The 21,662-nt window shown below is 37.8% G+C and overlaps 1 protein-coding gene across 4 annotated transcripts in view, besides 2 other annotated features; it reads right to left on the bottom strand.

Moving 5' to 3' along the window:
* PLCL2 (phospholipase C like 2) overlaps positions 1–21,662 on the bottom strand; it is a 205,652-nt gene that overhangs the window by 169,957 nt on the left and 14,033 nt on the right. For 2 of the 4 annotated variants that reach the window (XM_017006025.2, XM_006713073.4), the window contains exon 1: positions 20,966–21,662. The exons of 1 other annotated variant lie outside the window; for it this stretch is intronic. Coding sequence is in view for 1 of the 3 variants with exons in the window: in XM_006713073.4 (XP_006713136.1) it covers positions 20,966–20,977 (12 nt within the window). In the remaining 2 variants the exon portion in view is untranslated. One more of the 4 variants, XM_047447799.1, reaches the window with a different exon arrangement.
* Positions 3,111–3,210: a silencer, noted in NCBI's record as "silent region_14122". NCBI's record gives its function as "represses an Ori minimal core promoter by ATAC-STARR-seq in GM12878 lymphoblastoid cells {active_cell/tissue: GM12878}" and the evidence as "EXISTENCE:reporter gene assay evidence [ECO:0000049][PMID:35858748]".
* Positions 7,797–8,026: an enhancer, noted in NCBI's record as "active region_19557". NCBI's record gives its function as "activates an Ori minimal core promoter by ATAC-STARR-seq in GM12878 lymphoblastoid cells {active_cell/tissue: GM12878}" and the evidence as "EXISTENCE:reporter gene assay evidence [ECO:0000049][PMID:35858748]".

Here is a 21,662-nt window from a genome sequence, read left to right as displayed (position 1 = left end):
TTTAAGTATGCCCTCCCTAAAGGCCCTCTCCATCCTCATCAATAGCCATGCTAGTGTGTAATAGCCACTCACAGGGCTCAAAGCACTTGCTCTCGTTATCTCTCGCCCTAATTTATATATCTGCTTTTAAATTTTTGGTTGACCTTTCCAGTTCAGATTCTCAATAAGTGAGAATTTATCATATAATCATAGTAAGCAATAAAATTAACTTTTATAAATTAACTTTAAATATTTATGTGGAATACCCTTGAGAATTATACAATACTAATAATGCCTTATTATATCATCTATAAAAGAAAAATATATAAAGATTAAGATCATATCTAATAAATATAATTTTAAAAAGTTAAATGATATTCTAAAGCCACTCAAATCAGTAAATAATATCCTCTGTTGCCTTCTAAAGAGGCTGTTCCAGAATCTGGAATCCATGATCAAGTGACTCAAGTACCTATTGTTCCATTTACATGCAACAGTGTGGAAGATGCTTCAGAGGTCAAAGTAACTCAACTACAAACACAAACAGTACCATTAACAAAATATTATGGAAAAATAATTTCAATTTGTGTAAAAACACACAGGATATTTGCCTCACTGATTTCTACTCTCAGAGGCAGTCAGGAAAATAAAATTGGGGTTGACAAGATTATACTCTGGTGATTAAGTTTTAGACAGATGCCATATATGTGGTATATATATGGATATTCATTATTCTATAATTTGCCTGAGTGAATTTTCAATTGCTTTGTTAATTCTGACCCCACAGCTTACAGAAAATACCATTTCAGAAGTCCATGTTCACAGAATCTTTGCAATGAGGATTCCCAAGAAGAACACTTATGCATGTGCCAATACCTCAGGTGACTCTTCCTCACTTTGAGGGAAGCACCTCCAAGAAAACAGGTGTCCCCTCAACCAGACTCCAAAAAAGGCCAGTCATAAGGAGTATACTTTTTCTGTAGGCCAACTATATAGGCTGCAGAATTCACAAGCTAGTGGAAGGCTAAATATTAAAGAGCTAAGCACACAACTTTAAAAGTCAGAAAAATAGCAAAAAGAATAAACCCAAAGAAAGAAAAAGTAAAGAAATAAGGATAATGGAAATAATAAAGATAACATCAGAAATTAATGAAACCGAAAAGGGATACAATAGAACAATACATAAAATCAACAAAGCCACAAATTAATGCTTAAAAAGATTATGAAACTGATAAATCTCTGGCATACCTGATCAGTAAAAAAGGACAAACAATTCTAGTAAGGAAAAGAGGAACAAAACTACATATGCAGTGGGTTGTAAAAAGGCGAGATAATTTGATGAACATTATGCTAATAAATTTGAAAATGTAGGCGAAATGGACAAATTCCTAATACCTTATAACTAAATAGTACAAAAATAATGCAGTGCCTAGACTTCAAACTAGCTAGTATATAAAGGCACTATTAAACTCAGAAGAACAAGTTTCAGAAATTCAACTGTACTATTTCCTATTAAATTATTATTTAGTAATTTAAATTTTGGCTCCAAATGAGTGAATTCAGTTTTTTGGTTCAAACAAATAAAACTAAAAATTTTAATTAAACTATTTCACAACGAAGTATTATGGTTAACAACTGCTCTAAGTTTAAGAATGATGTCCATATATTTTTAAATAATTTATTTAATCCAGAGTTTTCCTGAAGTACTTCTATTTAACTTTTGGGATTAGTGGATACAAGTTTATACATGCTGTCAAGTGTAAAGTGATTAGGATTTATTAACTTTCTGAAACTTAGCTGAATGACCTTTGTACTCCTATATTTAACATTAACTTTGACTGCTTTATTCCAGTGCTATGTGAGCACAAAGAGCAACAAAATCAAAGAATTATATAACTAGGTGAGGTTTCAGCCCTTTATAGATGAAGAAACTGAGACCCAGCAAAGTCAAGTCCTTGCCCAGGTCATTATACTGGCTTAGCCTTTTTCCTTCAACACATAAAGTTATGGTAATTCTACATCCTGTGGAACATAATTCTTTCCCATCACCTTAACTATTACGGTAATATGAAGCTATTGTTCAAACCCCAAAATGCATCTCTCTGTGGCATACTATTTAGAGCCAGTATAGCCATTAACATTAGGGGACTTTCCATACATTGCATAAAGAGACTATTTTCCTATTTGGTTCCCAGACTCACCTATTATTCTTTGAAATTAATTGCATTTTCATACATAAAAATCTATCATAAATAGGAGAAAAGGAGGAAATCGCTTTATCACTGAGACACAAATTGAATTTTGTGATTAATAGTTAAAGTCTTCTCTGTCATAAATATATAATTTTTCAATAACCAGCTACTTAAAAAATGAGATTTTCATATAAAGCACAAAAACTATCTATTGTTTTAACATCTCTCTCCTTTTGTCTTCCTGGTTTAAATGCCTTGCTGACTGTAAAGTTCACAGTGATAATCTGTTCTTCCTTATAATAACCTGGCACAATCTTACAGCCTTACTTTAGTTTCTCAGATTAAGGGTATGAACCAAGACTGTGTTGAACAGTGCTCCTTTGATTCAGTCATGCAAAAGTTATCTGTCAGATGGTAATATACATAGGTAAAAAGGGGGATATTCACGTACTCATCCAAATTTTTTCTACATAATATCAAATTTTCAAATAATGAGACATTTGAATGATTCACATAAGAAAATAGAAGTCTGGCATTATGGAATCAAAACATCAAGATGACTGAGTTTCCCTTTTGCATAAGTTCCCAAGATGACCACCACAATATTGCATCCTACATGATCCTCTTCAGTGTGCACCTGCCACTCCCCCACCAAGGAGTGGGGTCTCATTTCCATCTCTCTGAATCAGTGCTGGTCTATGAATCACTTGTAACTAAAAGAATGCAGTCAAAGTGACTCAGTGTAACTTCTAAGCTTAGGTCAGAAGAGGCCATGCAGCTTTTATCTAGTTCTCCTGGGAGGCTTACTCTGGGGAACATCCAACTATCTGGAACTATCATGAGTGGAGAGGCTACACATAGACACTCTGGCTGACACTCTCAGCTGAGCCCAACAGTCCTGCTATCCCTGCAAAGGTACCCAACATGTGAGTATGGAAGCCATCCTGGAAGTGAACCCTCCAGCTTCTAGTCATCAGAATCCCCACAGCTAGTTGAAGCCCCAGACATCAGAGAGCAGAGACAAGACATTTCTGATGTGTCCTGTTCAAACTGTCAACCCACAGAATTCATGATCATAATAAAATGGTCACTGTTCTATGCCACTAAGTTTGAGGTGGTTTGTTATATAGTTTGTAGGTAACCAAATGAGCATGTTTTGACCTAAAACAAAAGCTGTTAAGACTCTACATTACTGCTGAACCTAGTAATAGGACTAATTATTCTAATTTATTGGTTAGGTAACCAGATAGCCCAGAAAGCTAAAAAGATCCTTCAGACATGACTCTAATTGAAAGGAAGAGGAATACACTGTTACACAGAGGATGTGTGTCCTTAACAAAATGGGACCGTGTCCTATGTACATCCGGATGTGAAGGACAGAAAGGGGCTAAGTACCAGGAAAAGGCTGGGCCAGGGAAGGAAGAGCCTTTTATAGCATAGCTATCTCATTCTCCAGTTACTGCCAGGCAACCTACTGAGGAAACTATGAGTCTCCCAGGGGCTCGTACGACAAAGAACACAGGCAAGGGGAGGTGGGGAGATAAAGAACACATAAGTTGTTCCTCCACCCTTTGAGGTACAGGATGACACATGGATAATGTACGATCACAAAAGAGAGAAGGAAGCCAAAGATATAAGTAACCATACAGCCTTGAATACCAAAGAGGAAAAATCAAGGATTTTAACTATCTTTATCTTTTATCTTTCAAAATTCTGTAATATATTTATGGTTTAGGTCTCTTTAAGTAATTGATATCAAAGTAATTGTAAATGTTCATCATCAATTATTTGGACTTTTCCTCTTAATTAAAAAGATCATAGCATTATATGAAGCACACTCATTTGATGCCACAATGCCACTGATTCTTTACATGGATGGTATTAATTTACTTCTTTTAGAATATTTTCTTTGACATACTGGGTGCTCTTGGCAGAAAGTTATTCCTGGAGTTTTGGCAATATTGAACTCAAATGCCAAGCTCCAGAATATATTTTTTCCATCAGAAATAATTTAAGGAGAAGCTACTTCCCACCTGACCATTCCTCTATGCTATGGGCCATTTTCTTATTTTCCTTCTTTAATGCTGGAGGGAGGATACTCTCAGTAGATGCAGGGACTAATTCACTACAGAAACCCATCTGCCTCAGTGAAACCTATAACCCAACAAAGGATGTTATATTTTTTTAAACAAAATAAGTGAGAAACTACCAGCTCAAAAGCAACATATTTGGATAGTCATTGTTTTAAGGGGCTGAATAGTCTTATATTTCACATTCCACATTCTTCCCCAAACCTCTGTTCCACAGTGTGGCAGGTTTACTGAGTCAACTGTACCGTGCTGGTGCTATAATATTAAAGTCGGCTGTCGTCTGCAACAAGCGAAGGAAAAACTTTTAGTCAGATGAAAACACAGAATGCTTTTTAAGATTATGGGCCCTTACTAAGCATGCTTTGATTTAATTAATTATGAATAATGGAAACCTTAGCAGGCTGTGTTACATGCTCGTGAATCACCTCCTGAGGTGTGAGCGAGTTGAGCCTGGACTTTCTTCATGTTATTTATTGCATTCCCTGCTTCTGAAATGTAAGCTGAATGAGGCGTCCCTCCTTCTCTCTCTATCCTTTCCTTCTACTTCTCTCTCCTTTCACAAAGCTGTTAGTGGTGGATGGGAAGGCAAAGCAGAAGCATTGTCCTTTTCCCTATGTGAAACCTGGCCTGACCCAAATAATGTCAAAATAACCTTTTAAGAAACAAAGTTTCCCATAGTTCAGTTGATGAATTTGGAAGGAAAAACTGCATAAACAGAATAAATCAATGAGAAGTAGTTTCCTAATGACAGAGATGAAACACTATCTGAATAAGAAGAGGAAAAAAATAATAAAATTAAAAGGAAAAATATGAGAGCAGCAAAGAAACCTACCTATACTACAAAAAAATATATCTAAACCACAGGGAAGTAACTGTTGCCAGTGCCAAGAAAACCCATGAATTATGGAGCATGAATAACTATAACAGGAAATATACACTGAAAAATTTCAAAGATTCTAACAGTAAATATATGCCAGCTTTTTCTATTTCATGGTTTGGCTAAATATCAGTGTACAGTGAATGTGTGTATATTAGTACCCAGAATCTCTCACCTTAAAAATAAAAAAGACTGCAAGGTAAATAAATAAATAGGCAAGGTGAGAATAAATATAAAAATTTCAATGACGTCTGAAGCAACTTCTAGACCTTTATCAAAAGCATGAACCTCATAGCGAGAAGAATGTTCACTAATGTTATGCATTGCTCAGCTTATGTTAATTTTGTTTTACCACATTATAAAAGATATGTTTTAATTGATTTGTTCCAACATCCGTCTACTAAGACAGCTTTAAAGCAGATCAAATCTTCATTTCCTTAAACTCAAAAGTATTGTCTTTCAATTTATACAAATATTTTAGGCCAGAGGCAGTGGCTCATGCCTATAATCCCAGCACTTTGGGTAGCTGAGGTGGAAGGATCACTTGAGGATAGGTGTTCAAGACCAGCCTGGGCAACACTGCAAGATCTCTTGTCTACAGAAAAATTTAAAAATTAGCTGGACATTGTGGCATTTGACTGTATGTCTCAGCAACTCAGGAGGCTGAGGAGGGAGGGTCACTTGAGTCTAGGAGGCTGAGGCTGCTATGTTCATGCCACTGCACTCCAGCCTGGGTGACAGAGTGAGACCCTGTCTCTAAAAACAATAAAAAATACATAAAATAAATAAAGAAATATTTTATGAATTAATCTTTAAATCACACATACCCCCTAAATCCTGTAACAAGAAGACGCTAACAAATTCTATACAAATTTTTAATCATTCATTTTAACTTCATGAAAACCAAAGTTTACCAAATCTACGCAAAAAGATAGATACCTACATATTTTAATACAATGAAATTGGACCACCAAGAGAAAAAAAAAAACCTGGAAATTTAAATTCAGTTTATCATGTAAGAACACTTATATTTTAATTTATAAGCTGAGAATCCAATTCAACATACTAATTTTAATGACAGATGAATTTGAGAAATACATCTTTTGAAAACTTTCTTTCTTTTAGAAAACTTGACAACTTTCTTATGATCTTTCTCTTAGATCATATTAGTGTTTAAGACAATTAAATTGAATATGTTGCTCCCTAATTCCTCCACTCACTGTTCTATATATTTCTCCACATATAAAACTCACTGTATTATCCTCATGAAAACTTTATAGACTATATTAAGATCTATGTTAGAGTTACCTTAATTTTCTCTCCAACTACTTTCTCTCTCCACAACTCATAACTAAAGCACTTCTCATAAGTAATGGCATACACTGAAAGTCCCAAATTAAGAAGAAAGAAAAAGATCAACACTGGCTAAACACAACTGAATTGCATTTTAGAGCCACAAATTTAAAACATTATGACAACACATAGCATGGCTGCTAAAGGGCCCCAGGATCAGAGAATCTGGCAAGTCATATATCACAGGGTGTTGAAGAAAACATTTTTAAAAGAAACACATTATAGTGGGTGTTACATTAATGCTACAGTCCCTGTATTTCGATAATCTGAAATAAGGGTCTCCCTTTTATTCATAATAGGAGCAAAATTTACAGGCAGATCTTTCTTCCATAAAATCATTAATTTCTAAATCTAGCACCCCCAGTGTTCTATTCAAAATTATTATGAAGATCTTTTTAGCAATACACTGTCACAAAAATAATGACTACATGACAGCTATTTTTTACATATATACACATACATAAATATATTTATATATTCATATTCTATTCAGTAATTGGACTTCATTTCTCTTTCTCAAAACAAGGTCATTTCACAAAATCTTTGACTAAATGTAAATATTTGTTTTTCTTAAAATTTAAATCTATAATTTAAAATGATATAATTTGAGGTAAACATATCAGAAGGCAGTCAACCATTAAAATATTAATTCGTTTGCTTACTAATCATAACAGAATCCCAGCAATAATCTGAAAATATAATTGAGAAAAATTTTACACCACACCTTACATCATTAGGTAGTGATCCTCTTTCTAAATGAAAATTAGTAAACCCACAGAAGAGTCTTACTAGATAAAAGATACAGGGCACACCTACAACCAAATTTCCAGCGAATGGGTAAGAAAAGTCCCTAGAGGAAAGCTGGGCTTGCTAACCAAAAGGAGAGGGAGAGTAATTCTGGAATAGGGTACAGATTACAAGACTACAAGAGAGGTGAAGTAATGTCAGTTTGCGAGGCCCAGTCTGGCCAAGACGGAGGTTGGTGAGAAGCAGAAGAAGATGCTAGAGTAGTACTGATGATACATGGGAGGTCCTGGAAACCAAGAGGAAGGTTAGGGCTTCAGCCTCAGAGCAAAGGGTATCATAGAACATGTTGAGAGAATTTCACAAAGTAGTGCTGTAGGAGAACTAATCTGGAAACTGTGAAAAAGGATTTGGGGGAAAGGGAGAAGAACAGAAGGAAGGGAGGTTAATTCTTGTAATTATCTAAGCATGTGTTGGAGACAGGAGCCTGGTACCAGCATCAGAAACAATGGGACAGATGTGGGGGATGATGAGAATACAGTCAGCTGGTGGGAGGAGGCCATCTTCCAACACCAATGTCTCAAAAAGCGTTTTGTTCCATTGGCTGGTTTGGTTGGAAAGTGCATTATTTATAGATCTAACATGAATTTATCTCACAGTCAACAGCAATTCAGAATTGTGCATTAATATTTTTTAAAGCAAAGAAAACAGTCAAAGAAAGCAGAATAATTCAGTGGAGAGAGCACCTGGTCTCACAGTCAGAAGCCCACAAATCTATTTCTGGCTTTTTGAGCAATGTTGCTCATCACCTTGCACAACTGAATCAGTCTCAGTTCCCTTCAAAGAAAAATGGTAAAGCAAACTAATATGACTGTTGAAGTGTTACAAGGGCAGAAACAAACTCAAATCTTTGAAAGTGCTTGAAGTAAAACCACTATACACATGTTAAACCACTAACAAGTAATATTTTCTAAATATACCACATGGACCTTCAATTTTGTCCAACTATATACATTCTTTCTTTTGATAAGGACACAGATGTCCAAACACATGAATACCAAAATTCACCATTCTACCTACTTGTTTCATCCTTCCATGTCAGTTTTGCTTCTAAGGTTAAAGACCAATCACAATCTTGATAAAATTTTGAAACACTATTTGGCTATTTAAAAAAAAAAACTGACGTGAAGTATTTCCATAAATTCAAACCCAGATCAAATATTTTAAAACAAAAATAATTTAATGGTTGCATTAAACCACTGGGGAGGGTGACTATGAGGCAAGGCATCCATATACTACTACATATTAAGTATCCCTTCTCTGGAATGCTTGGAACCAGAAGCGTTTCAGATTTTTTTGGGATTTTGGAATATTTGCATATACCTAATGAGACATCTTAGGGATAGAATCCAAGTCTATACAAGAAATTCATTTATGTTTCATATACATCTTATACATATAGCCTGAAGGTAATTTTATACAATATTGTTAATAATTTTGTGTACGAAACAAAGTTTATGTACACTGAAAGCAAAGGTGCTGTTAGGGTATGGAATTTTCCACTTGTGGTATCATGTTGGTACCCAAAAAGTTTCAGATTTTGGAACATTTTGGATATTTGAATTACAGATGCTCAGCCTGTATTCATGAAAACAAAGGGACAAATAAATGATCATTTGTATTTTGCATGAAAATTGATTATCAGGAACACCTAAAAATAACTAGAGACAGTTCAGGTTTCCTCTTCACCATTTGAGTTGTGACTGCATGAACTCTGGGAGTCCAGCACCTTTGTATGACAAAAGTGAAGCTTATAGATGATTAGCTAATTGGGAAAGGAGGCACTGAACTCCTCTTTCTTAAAGATCTGGGTTTGTTCCAAAGAAAATATAATCTAATATATGAGTTAGATTCAGATTTCCTAGAACTAGGGAGACAAACTAAGTAAATTCTAAAGATACTCTGGAGTATTCTTTGTCTGCTCCTTAGTTTTAAATAGTGTCCCTACTCTCCCACTAAGCTATGATATTAAAATAAAAATAACTTTGCAAATATAAAATTAAGAATATATTAATGCAAAACTATGGAGAAAACTTTGGAGCCTGACAGACCTGTATTCAAATCAGAGCTGTGCTCATTACTTTTTTTTTTTTTTTTTTTTTGAGACAGAGTCTTGCTCTGTGGCCCAGGCTGGAATACAGTGGCGCTATCTCGGCTCACTACAACCTCCGCCCCCCGGGTTCAAGTGATTCTCCTGCCTCAGCCTCCGGAGTAGCTGGGATTATAGGCACATGCCACCACGCCCAGCTAATTTTTGTATTTTGGGTTGAGATGGGGTTTCACCATGTTGGCCAGGTTGGTCTCGAACTCCTGGCCTCAAGTGATCCACCCACCTTCGCCTCCCAAAGTGCTGGGATTACAGGGTGAGCCACCGTGCCTGGCCCCATTACAAATTCTACATTGGGAATAATACTTACAGCACACTATCACTAGTTATATCTCGAAGATAAAACCAAAGTGTTTGTTGATAGACTTGATGTAGTACATGAGATAAGAAAGGAGTCAAGGATGACTCCAAGGCCTGAGCAACTGAAAGGATATTATCAAACTAAGAAAGAAGGCTACAGATGGAGCAGGCTGGGTGGGGAAAAGGGGGGGTTGTGTTTCAGATATGAAAAGTGAAAGATCTAGTAGGATATAGTGGAAAAATCTAGTAGGACATATATGCTTGGATCATAGAAGAGAGTCGGGGTAGAGATGTATATTTGGGAGTGGTTGGCATATAAATGACACTTAAAGCCACAAGACGGGATGAGAATATCAGGATAGTGTGAACAGATAGAAAGAAGGCTGGGATCACTCCAATGCTGCAAGCAAACAGAAGAGAAGCAAACAGAAAAGGGGACTGAAAAGACTGATGCGTGAGACAGGAGGAGAACTGGGAGAGTAGGGAGCCCTGGAAGCCAAGCGAAGTAAGTGTGCCAAGAAGGGGAATGATCAGCCATGCCAAACACTACTGACGGGTGAAGTAAGGGGAGGACTGCAAACTGACTTGAGGGATTTAGGAACTTGGAGGGTATTGGTGACCTTGACAAGAGTGGCTTTGGAGAAAAGTGACAGTGAGGACCTGAAGGGAGCAGCTTTAAAAAAAAACAGGAGCAAGGAATTGAAGACAGTGAGCACTGACAACTCTTCAAATTGTTTTTGCTGCAAAGGGGGCAAAGAAATTGTGCAGTAGCCAGCAGGAGAAGTTGCAACAAGAAAATATGAAAGAAATCTCAGAATGTTTGATGCTGATGGGAATAATCCAGTAGAGAGTGAAAACTGGTGCTACAGGAGAGGTGGGGAGAGCTGCTTATGAATTAGCTGAGGAGGGAAGAAGGATTGAGATCTTTTGTGTGGATGGAGAGATCAGCTTTGGGCAGGATCCAGGCGAGTTCATCTTGGTAAGGTGACAGAAGGCAGAATCTGTGTGTGTGATGTGATCATAGTGGGCCATAGCCAAATAACAATAATGGTAATCAGTCAGACCAATATTGTTTCCTAGGAATGGGAAGGGAAGAGCCTTTAACGTAGGAAGAAACCATCCCGATCTTTAAATTTCTGAATTATTCAAAAAAGATGGCGTTTAAGCTAATGGAGGTTGTTTTAAACCAAAAAAGACAGAATTATTTTTGATATCTCTCTGGCTTTTGCTGAACAGAAATAGGACTCCAGAGAAATATTATATCAGTTATAGAATAGAAAGGAAGTTACAGAATATATTAATAAAAGAATATCTGGGTTGCAGTGTGCAAATTTCAATCCCAGGACACATACAAGTTAATATTCTTGTTCCCAATCCTCTTGATACCTTAGTCATTATCTGCTTAGTGTACCTTAAATCAATGATCCTGAAATATATTTAATAAGAAAACACTAATAGTAAAAATAGCGATATCTAAAACCATTGGGTGCTTTGGTGTGCCAAACCCTGTGCTAAATGTAATAGATTCACTCTCATTTAATCAGCACAGCAGTCCTCTGTAGGAACACTATTATTATTTCCTTTTCCTAGATGAGGAAGCTACAAGAAGATATGCAATCTGCTCAACAAACAGTAAGTGGCAGAGCTAAAATTTGAACACAGGTCCTTGCTATTAAGTAACAGCAAAAACCTGTATATTGAGAGTGTACATTTTAAGTTACCACACCAAGAACTGAAACTCAAAACAAGGATAACAATTTCAAATATTTTAAATGTACTAGAAAAAACATTAAAACACTGCTCTCTTGAATAAGCAAAATATTTCTTTTACATATGTGCAGCAGGCAGATAACATAAGCTCTTCTATATTACTCCTGAGACACACTGATAACCATGGTCTGCCCTCTGGGATGTCATCATATACTAACACTACTTTTATAATACGGGAAAAAATAGAAAGAAGGCTGAAGCATACTTTGTTCCAGATATCTAGTTAACTTAAGATGTCACGATGCTTCTCACATACTACCATAATTTTCCAAATTACACATCTTCAGAAAATAAATGTATGTTGATACATTATATATTTCCAATAGTCTCTACTCATATCACACTTTTATTAATTTCATCTTCATCTGAATAAACAAGCTATTTTTAAGCCCAGCACCAAAAATGTATAATAAACCACCTGGAACACAGCCTCAATCCCCAACACCCCAACCTGAGCTGCCCACCTCCCAGACTGCCAACCTTTGTCACTCCACCAAACATGCTGTGCTGTGCATTCACGGGTCCCGGCTTATGCTGTTCCCTGTGCCTGAAGATTATCCACCACCTCCCCCAAGCAGTGGATGTGGTGGGTGCCCTGTCCAAATCCCTGCAACTGCCCTTAGTGTTAGCTACTAATAGCTCTCAGCTAATCCAGGGATGTTATATCCTCCTGCCCACAGACAATGAGGAACTGACTAGGGTACATTAAAAGAAAAAAGAGACACGTCAACCATTGAAACGTATGGGATCTTAACTGGACCCTAAATTAAACAAACTAATTTTTTTAAAGCTATGCCTCTTAAAAATAATTGGAACACTGTTGATAGTTGATGATATTGAGGAATTATTATTATTTTACAGATATAATAATATTGTGGATGGTAAAAATATGTTTATGGATAATACGGTGTCTGGAATTTGCTTTAAAATAACACAGGATGGGGATAAGTGGATAGGAATGCAGAGGAAACAATATTAGCCATGAGCTGATAACTGCTGAAGGTGGGAGATGGGTATATAAGAGTTTATCATACTATTCTCTCTATTTGTGTCCATTTCCCATAATAAAAAGTTTAAATAGAGAGACAGAAAACCCACGAAAGGGAGGTAGGGAGTCAAACATACAATAGGAATGACAAACAGTATCAAATCAGCCCACACAGTATTTTCACTTATATTTGCTTAAACATCATCTGGAATAAAATATTGACATGAATACATATCATTGGAATAAAAAAAAATTAAAGATTCATTTAACTTGTTTTGAAATAAAACAAATTGAATACAATGAAATGAATTGATATTTATTTCTTTCGTGCAGTCATTATGAAGGCAGGTAAAGCAAACAACCAAATTCTACTTCAAGGGCACAACTCCTGAAGTAAATCTAGACTTTTGTTATGCTGTACGTTAATACCAAAAAAAAAATTGCTAATAATTATTGAAAGCTGTGCTTTACTTGCATGACTTCAATTAATTCTCTCAAAAACCCAATGAAACTAATCTCATCATTATATACATTTTAGAGATAAGGAAACTAAGGCCAATAGGTGACCCCCCAGTCTGACTCACACCAGCCAGCTTACTCCAAAGCCTAAGCCCCTAATGGAGTGCTCTGGGGAACTGGGCATCATAATGCCCTAACACCTTAGCACAGAGTTAACAAAGCAACAGCATTTGGGCAAGGAGTCCTGAATAGTGGTAGGTGCTCCAAGCATCTGACTAATAAAATGTGTGGCTGACCCAACACTGGTATCACTGGGCTGCCTTTCTGGTGGTTATGGTTTCTGTTATCTGTGCACACAAATCACAGGCTTGTCTGGTTAACATTCAGTCCTATAAAGTTGTGTTGTTCCTAGGTGATAAGCCTACCCAAGAACTAAATTCATAATCTAGCCCCTTTTGTAACAAAATGAACAAATAAGTGGCTATTTTTTTAGACTATCATGAAAAACACCGGAAAGTTTAAACTATAAACTGACAAATTTTGAGGTATAAGTTATTAGTAAAACCTCCAATCTCAAAATTTCCTTTCATGAAACAGGGCTTAAATTAAATATATAAGTAGAAAGGAGGATGATAAGACACTAAAAACTAAACGAACATGGTCAAACTCATTTTCAGATAACAGCTTGCAAAAATAATTTATCTGAGTTGCTAAAGAAAGGAAACAGGATTCAGAAGTTATAAGAATGATCTCTTAAACTCTGCAACTCAGCGGGGAAAAAACACCTTCCAAGTTACCACAGGGCCTTCCCCAAGTCTGCAACCACATGGCTGTGTTTTAGACTGGGTGGAGCACAGAGTAAACAAACAGTTTCTATTTTTAGCATGTTTTTCCTGGCCACTCTGAAATTTCCTAGTCACAAATTATTGCCTGTTATCTTTTAAAATAGATTTTTACTCAAAGAATTCATAGAAAACTTCTCAGAATCAGGAAAAGACATACAAGTTATTACATAAAACTAATTTATGAAGCTTTATTTTAGAAAATAATTTATTATGTAAAAAGTATTACATATATTCACAAAATAAACTGGAAAGAATGCTTAAAATATTTTTCATTGCAAATACACTCAGAAGAGTAAATCTTTTCAAACTCTGTAGAATATTCATTACTGATATTAATACAGTAAAATTTTAGTTTTAAAAACTGAAATTTGATTAAAATTTTGAAAATTATTATCTTTGCAAAAATTAACAATACAAGAAATCTATATCAAAAATATAAGTTCCACATTAACGAATTCAAAATTGTTTCTTTGAAATGTAAATTAATAATATGCTTAATGCCTTCTCTCAACTTTATTCAAAAATAATAGATTGAGAGTAAAAAGAACATATTCGCTTGTATATTCCACATCTTCCTTATACATTTTAGAAAAAAAATCAAGAGATGATCTGCACACCTCAGGGCCAACTTATTCACTGGGTACAACAGGCACAATGCTTACAGCCCCACAATATTTTTAGGGGCTCACACAAATGTTTTAATTTCTTTTAAAATCAGAAGGGAAAAAAGGACCTTTAGCTCAGATAAAACGTTTTAATATATAATATTAACAGATCTGACCAACACAGTCATAAAATATAATTTTCAATTTTTTTTTTTTATGGAGGAAGGAGCCTACAAAGGAAAAGGGCCTGAAAGTCATTAATGCAGTCCTGCTGCATATAAAGTCCTCCCTAGCCCAAAAGCCTCTCCAGGTGGATCTGGATTATTCTTGCCAAAGCAGAAGATGGTTAATGGTGCCCTGGCTGGGCCTGGAGAGTTATGGGCACTCATCAACACCTACTCCATTTTCAGGGCCCCTGCCTCCCTCTCAATTACCTCCCTCCAGGCTCACCAAAGATTGGGGTACACAACTAATAGGCTCCCTGTATGCTGTCGCTATTCTGAGGAGGTCTAAACAGTGAGCTAGAGCTGCTGCAACAGCAGAAGCTTGCTCTGAATCAGTTGTTTGGCTGTTTGTTTAATTTCAGATCCCTTTGAAAATTTGATGAAAACCTCTCAGAAACATATGCACATGCCTACAAAATTTTGCAATTAATTTTTTGGTATACAATTTCATCATTGGAAATTTATTTCCTTTACATAGAAAATTTTAAATTTGTGTAAATAATTATACTTCTCACTCTCATTTAAATGCAAAAATCAACTGGCTGCTTTCCAAAAAATTAAAATGAATGTAAATTGCACAGATAAAAAAGAAAGTACATTTTATACTAAAAGAAAATTTCCATTAGAAGGCTGCTATTTTGGTTTGATACAGAGGTTGAAACTGGAGCCTGGTGTTTGACAGCCAATCAGCTTTGACTTCCAGTTTTTCTTTTAAGGATAAAAGACAGAGAGGTAGTACTGAGTGGGGAATCACAGACCACTCTGCCAGGCTAGGATAGCATGTGTAAAGAAGTGTGAAAATCCCCCAAAACCTCTTCTGGTTACATCACTTGCATCACTCGCTGTGCCCACACACCCTGGGGCCTTCTGTGGCAAGGACAGCACCACTGATGCTGTCTGTGTCATGAAGGAGAGGATTCAGTCCACATTTTAATGGGACTGTCACAACAAAAATAATCCTCAAAAGCATTCTCTAGTTTCTCCTGGAGTATACAGGCTTCTGCTTGCAAAAAGACTGCCAGAGCTGTACCATTCCTGTATTAGTCTTTTCCCACGCTGCTATGAAGAAATACCTGAGACTAGATAATTCATAAAAGAAAGAGGTTTAATTGACTCACAGTTCTGCAGGGCTGGGAAGGCCTCAGGAAACTTACAATCATGGCAGAAGGGGAAGCAAACACATTCTTCTTTACATGGCAGCAGCAAGGAGAAGTACAGAGCTAAGGTGAGGGAAAGCCCCTTATAAAACCATCAGATCTCATGAGAACTCACTCACTATCATGAGAACAGCATGGAGGTAACCGCCCCCATGATTCAATTACCTCCCACCAGGTCCCTCCCATGACATGTAGGGATTACGGGAACTACAATTCAAGATGAAATTTGGGTGGGGACACAGCCAAACCATATCAATTCCTGACTGGCCAGCAGATGCACTTGGTTGTCTGCTTCCAGGCTGTGCTTCCAGGATGGCAGCTGGGTAAAAGCATTCCTACTTTTTCAGCAGCATACACATCATGTTGATGGCAAAGCCTTGAATTGAAAGACAGGCCTCATTCAAAGGGCTGAGAGCCACCAAATAAGCCAACCCACCAGTAAACTCCTCCCTGTGAAAACAGTTTTCCCTTTTTTAAAACACAAGCATTCTCTCCACACCCCCGCCACACACACATACCCCAAACCGGTTCTCTAGAAAACCAGTAAACGTAAGTGTTAACAAAATGAACTCCAAAGTTTGCTTTTTTTTTTTGTCAAGATCTCTTGAAAAGGTTAAGGAGTGAAATTCATGTTTCTGACTCTGGCCAAATTGACAACTGTGCGGGCAGTCAACGCATCAAATGTTTTTCAGGATTACTGGCCAGCAGACTTGACAAAACTAAGCAGGGATGTAGAAAGCTCCAAGTTCCCACAACACATGGGACTTTTTTCACCAAAACAGCAAAGCCAGATTAGCTACCCAACATCTAGGTGCTCCTCCTTCACAGGACTAAAGTTTTCTTACCATCACAATGTTAGAGTTCAAAGATATCCATTGCCACTGTACTTCTGAAAAAAGATCACAAAAGCTGAATTTTTTTGATAGTCTCCACATGCACATAATCAACGAAAACTAACATGTGATTGTAATGAAGAATGCCAGTGGGCTCACCCAGGTGCAGGCTGAAGGGACCTGTCTGCCAAAACCTGCTTAAGAATATTAGAAGAAATGTCAGCAACCTTGAGTGTGTATGATACCATGTTCCAGAAACTGCTTCAAACCTTTCCTTCTACACTCAGCCACAAAACCAACCTGATCATTTCCCAAAAATAAAGCTTCACAGGGTTTCTCCAGTTAGGTGTGACTTCTCCCACTTGACCATATAACACATGACTTTGCTGAACCGTTGGGGCTCTGTCCTGTCATACATCTGAGCACCCACTGCTGGGCACATCAGAACTCCTACCGATTCCACACTTTCACTGGCAAGAACCTTGCTGTAAAACCAGCACAGGGGCTTTTGTGCCTTATCATATTGAGCAATGAAAGTAAAATTTAAGGGCAGGAGCTCCAGTGTACTTTGCTTTCTTAGTATTTTTCCAATATAAGAGACAGATATCTGTGACCACATGGCAGGACAGGCCTGTTTCAGTGCCTGTCGAACAGGAACTAAATCAGTTCCATAACATGAAAGTCACCCCCATAGCAACTTACAGACCACGCATAGTATCAATGCATCCTACCCAATATTCGCCTGCAGCAAAATACCTTAGTAACATCTTTGGCATAAAAAATAATTTTTTTCAAATAAACTTCAAAATAACAAGAAAAGTCAATGGGAAAAAATTATTAATCATGGATACCAGGATAAGAACTGATATCCCAGTCTAAAGATGATCACAGTTGAAATTAAACCTTAAAAGAAAATAATTGCTTCACCTGAATACTCCTTTTCAAAATACTTAAAAATCGTCCCTCTCTGGCATGCAAATATGCCCAATTCCTAACTTATAAGACCTTTCCTACGAAAAACAAATGCTTCTGAGCCAGATCCCAATTACATTTGCTTTGTATTTCAAATGAACCAGTGCATGGCAAATGATGGTAAGAGACTCAAAGATTAATGAAGGTTGAGGGTAGAGGCAGACTAACACCTACATACTTGTATGATTCCTTCCAAAGCATGCACATGCGCVCACACACACACACACACACACACACACACGCACTGCATTTTTTTTTTTTTTTTTTTGAGATGGAGTGTAGCTCTGTTTACCAGGCTGGAGTGCAGTGGCATGATCTCAGCTCACTATAACCTCTGCCTCCTGGGTTCAAGCGATTCTCCTGCCTCAGCCTCCTGAGTAGCTGGGATTACAGGCACGCATCACCATGCCCAGCTAACTTTTGTATTTCTAATAGAGACAGGGTTTCACCATGTTGGCCAGGCTGGTCTCAAACCCCTGACCTTCAGTGATCTACCTGCCTTGGCATCCTAAAGTGCTGGGATTACAGGCATGAGCCACCGTGCCTGGCCCCAAAGCATTTTAGAGAGAAAGTTACACTTAAGAGTTAAATCACTTTAATTCAGTTCAGCCCATGTTCTTGCTATAGAAATCATGCACTTGTTTAATTTTAATAGCAGCATGTATCAGAACTGATCATTTCTCTTAGAAAAAGGTAAATGCATGGAAATCACGCAATTGTTTAATTTTAATAGCAGCCCCTATCAGAACTGATCATTTCTCTTCAAAAAGGTAAATGCACTCTCTTATGAAAGAAGACCTTGCTGTAATTTCTTAACCTTGCCAACTCCTTAAAAAAAATACTCTCTCTTTCATCCAGTCCGATTCAATGGCCATAAAGGAGAATGGATAGTGGTGTCATCTGCCAAACTAAATAACTTCAGAAAAGGACCAGATAGGAGGAGGGGGCAGGATAAGACAGGGAAGGTTGGATGTGAATACATTGTAGTGAGATGGCTGGGGGCATGCTAGAGGGGATGCAGAGCAGACAGCAGTGTCTGGGCTCAGAGGGCAAATCTGAGCTGGAAACATCAATGTGAGAGTCACCAGTGAATCCATGGGTAACTGCAGCTATGGCTATGGAACAAGTTGTCCAGAATGAGGCATGGAATGAGAGAAGGAGACCTATTCACTGTGTGGCACAGACAGCCCTGATGATCTTCACAAGCGGGGCAGGGTGGAGGGGTGAATGGAAGGAAAGCAAATGCAGAAAGAGATCACAGACACTCTTTAGATACAGCTGAAAACAGGGAGAAGAGAGTTTAGGAGGTAGCTGAAGAGAGAGCTGAGAAGGCTAGAGAGAGGCTACTGCTACCTTTCTTGTTTTTTAGAACGTGAGAATGCTTACAGGCTGATGGGGGAAACACGGCACAGACAGAGAAGTTAAAGACACAGGAGGGAGAGGATGCGATCCAGAGTACAGGGACAACTGGAGGAGAGGCAGCTCCCTGCCTGTTAATTAACAGAGGAGGACCAGTGTACAGGTCTCAAGACAAAGGCTAAAGGGTTTCTCTAAGACACAAGTGGTAAGACTATATGCTAAGGACGGTGAGGGGGTGGTGACAGGATGGACATACATAGATGCCCTTGCCAACAGTTGCCCATTTGTGTGGGCACTGCCCAAGTCGAGGATGCAGACTTGGACTATGGAGTGGAGTCCTGCTCTCTGCAAAGCTCCCTACACAAAGGAGGACAGCCTGAGACCTTGACCTCATCAGCACCAGCTCCCCACTGGGTCACATGGCTCCAGTATGTGGCCCCCACATTCTGAAGAGTCTTTAATATCTCAGGAGCAGCCCCTTCCATGTAACTCTTGAAAGCAACAGGTGGCTTCCAGAATGGCCAGGGGAGATACTGTTGCTTTATTGGAACAAACAGGTCTGACTTGCCAAATAAATTTAGTGCATAAATATAATTTTTTGAAACTTCAAGGACAAACAGCTGCTCTGCCTTATCAAAATAAGCAGTGGAGCAGTTAATTTTTCTAAGTAACAGTGGGCCAGCAACACACAATCAAGGCGTTAAACTTCAGTTCCTTTCACAGAAGAAAAACAACTCTTTGGTTTCTCAACTAGCAAACAATTCACCACCTCAAACAGTGCCACTCCAAGATTATCTTTTGATGATACTGAGTTTCCATTTTTGAAGTGAGAGAGAAATGAATTGCTACCTTCCCAATTTACACGTATAAAATGTGAGAAGGTACCCAAGTGGCATGGAGAGTAACCAGCAGATCTGAGTCCAAAGCCCAACCTTGCCAAAGTCTAGTGTGACCACGTGTATTTTACATGGGCCTCAACTTTTTCACCTGCAAAATGGAGGCCACTGATGATGTCCACCGAACGGGAGCATTGTGAGAGCCCACTAAGCTGATGTTAAAGGTGGTCTTGCAGGGATGAAAGAGCTATGCAAATATGAGGTGTTATTAGCATACAAACTAACTTTCCCAGACTTTTTTGGTTATGAAGTTTTTTGCATTTTTATAACATCTTGCTTCAGGAGCTTTAAAAACCTTTTAAAACATCAGGATAATAATCCTAATGAAATGAGCAAATCAACATATAGCTTTATTTCAATATACTGTAGAGAGAATACGGTGAGATACAGAGTTTAACTGATTTTCTTAAAAGTCAAAATGCATGCTAGATATAAAGTTTATAGCTTCTTTCTTCTGAATTTGATATGCTCTATGAGGAAAACAAGGATGATTTGTAATTTTATCAGTTAAAATTTTTATTGTCTTTTTAAGTCTAGTGACAATACTAAACACACAGAAATAACTGTTTAAATTAATCTTATTGCCCTGACTTCTTAAATTCTTCTCTGAATTTTTACCTCTGTCAAGAAGAAAAAATGAAGGTTATTTTCTTTAGTAAACAGTCACTGCTACCTCAGTAACAGAATTCTTCAAGACTCTGAGATTAAGATCTCAACAGTCTTATCCAGGTAGCAACTAAAACAATCGTGCCCAACCCACCCAAGTTCAGAGTGCTGAAAACTAATACAAATGATGGACTGGGCCTGCAGTTACATGTTTCCATTTAAAAGGGTAATTAAACCAAAGCCACAGTGAACCAAAATAAAAATAAAAAACTAAAACATGATATTCAAAAAAGCAAAGCAGGGAATGTTGAAAAGAACATTTCAAATAAGAGATGGGAAAAAGTAAACGTGCCCTCTAAAATAGGATAGTTTCTTGTTAGGGTGTTTTGACGGGGGGCGGCGGGGGGGATATTTTAATGGATTTATTAGCAAATTTTCAGGAACAGCACAGATCTTTCTCACATAAATAATCAAATCAACAGCAAAATAGCAAAAACTGAATCATTCAGACCAAGAGCTCTTCCCAAGATCCATACAGGTTTTACTTACCATGTCAGTCATGCGAAAAGTACTTGCCCTGGTCCCGAAAAGACATACAAGAAATCAAGCAGACAAGATTTCACGCACTTTTTACAGAAAAAAGAGGAGAAAACACAGTCTTCTGGACACATTTAACACTTCAACCAAGCAGAGGTGCAGACCCGAATCAGAACTCATGACTCTCAAGTTGCAGCTCTTGGTCTCCACAGGCCAGCTCCCCAACTAGTGTCCAGGTCTCTGGTGTGAACTTCTGCACAGAAATTCAGGGAATTCAGCCTCTGTACCTACTTGATACTCTGTTGTTGCTGTTTTCAAACATGACCCCAATGGGCTGCTCTGTTTAGATACAGCAGAAAAGCCTAAGGCTGGACTAACAGTCCTCTCTATGTAGAAAAGCAGCCCTCTTGTGAAGGTAGATGCTCAACTGTTCCTCTCCCTGCTGAGACGCTCCATCCATATACAGGCTAAGCTGTCTGCTGGTGTTGTTTCCACAGTGGCCACAGCTCCATGACATGCCTTGAGGCCAAGATTCAACTCACCACTAAAGTGAGAATCATGGTGCAAAGGGCATCCCCTCGATAGTGACAGATACACAGCACTCTGCAGCTTACTGTACCTTTCCTTGTTCCTCCATTCTTCTCTCTACCACCTTTTGAAGCACAACCTCCTGACAAACACGCCCCAGCACAGCACTAATGGTTACTGC

The sequence above is a fragment of the Homo sapiens genome, chromosome 3 (genome assembly GCF_000001405.40).
Source record: "Homo sapiens chromosome 3, GRCh38.p14 Primary Assembly".
Classification (NCBI taxonomy): Eukaryota; Metazoa; Chordata; class Mammalia; order Primates; family Hominidae; genus Homo; species Homo sapiens.
Note: the sequence above shows the minus strand (reverse complement) of the source record. Positions and strands in the feature narration are given on the sequence as shown.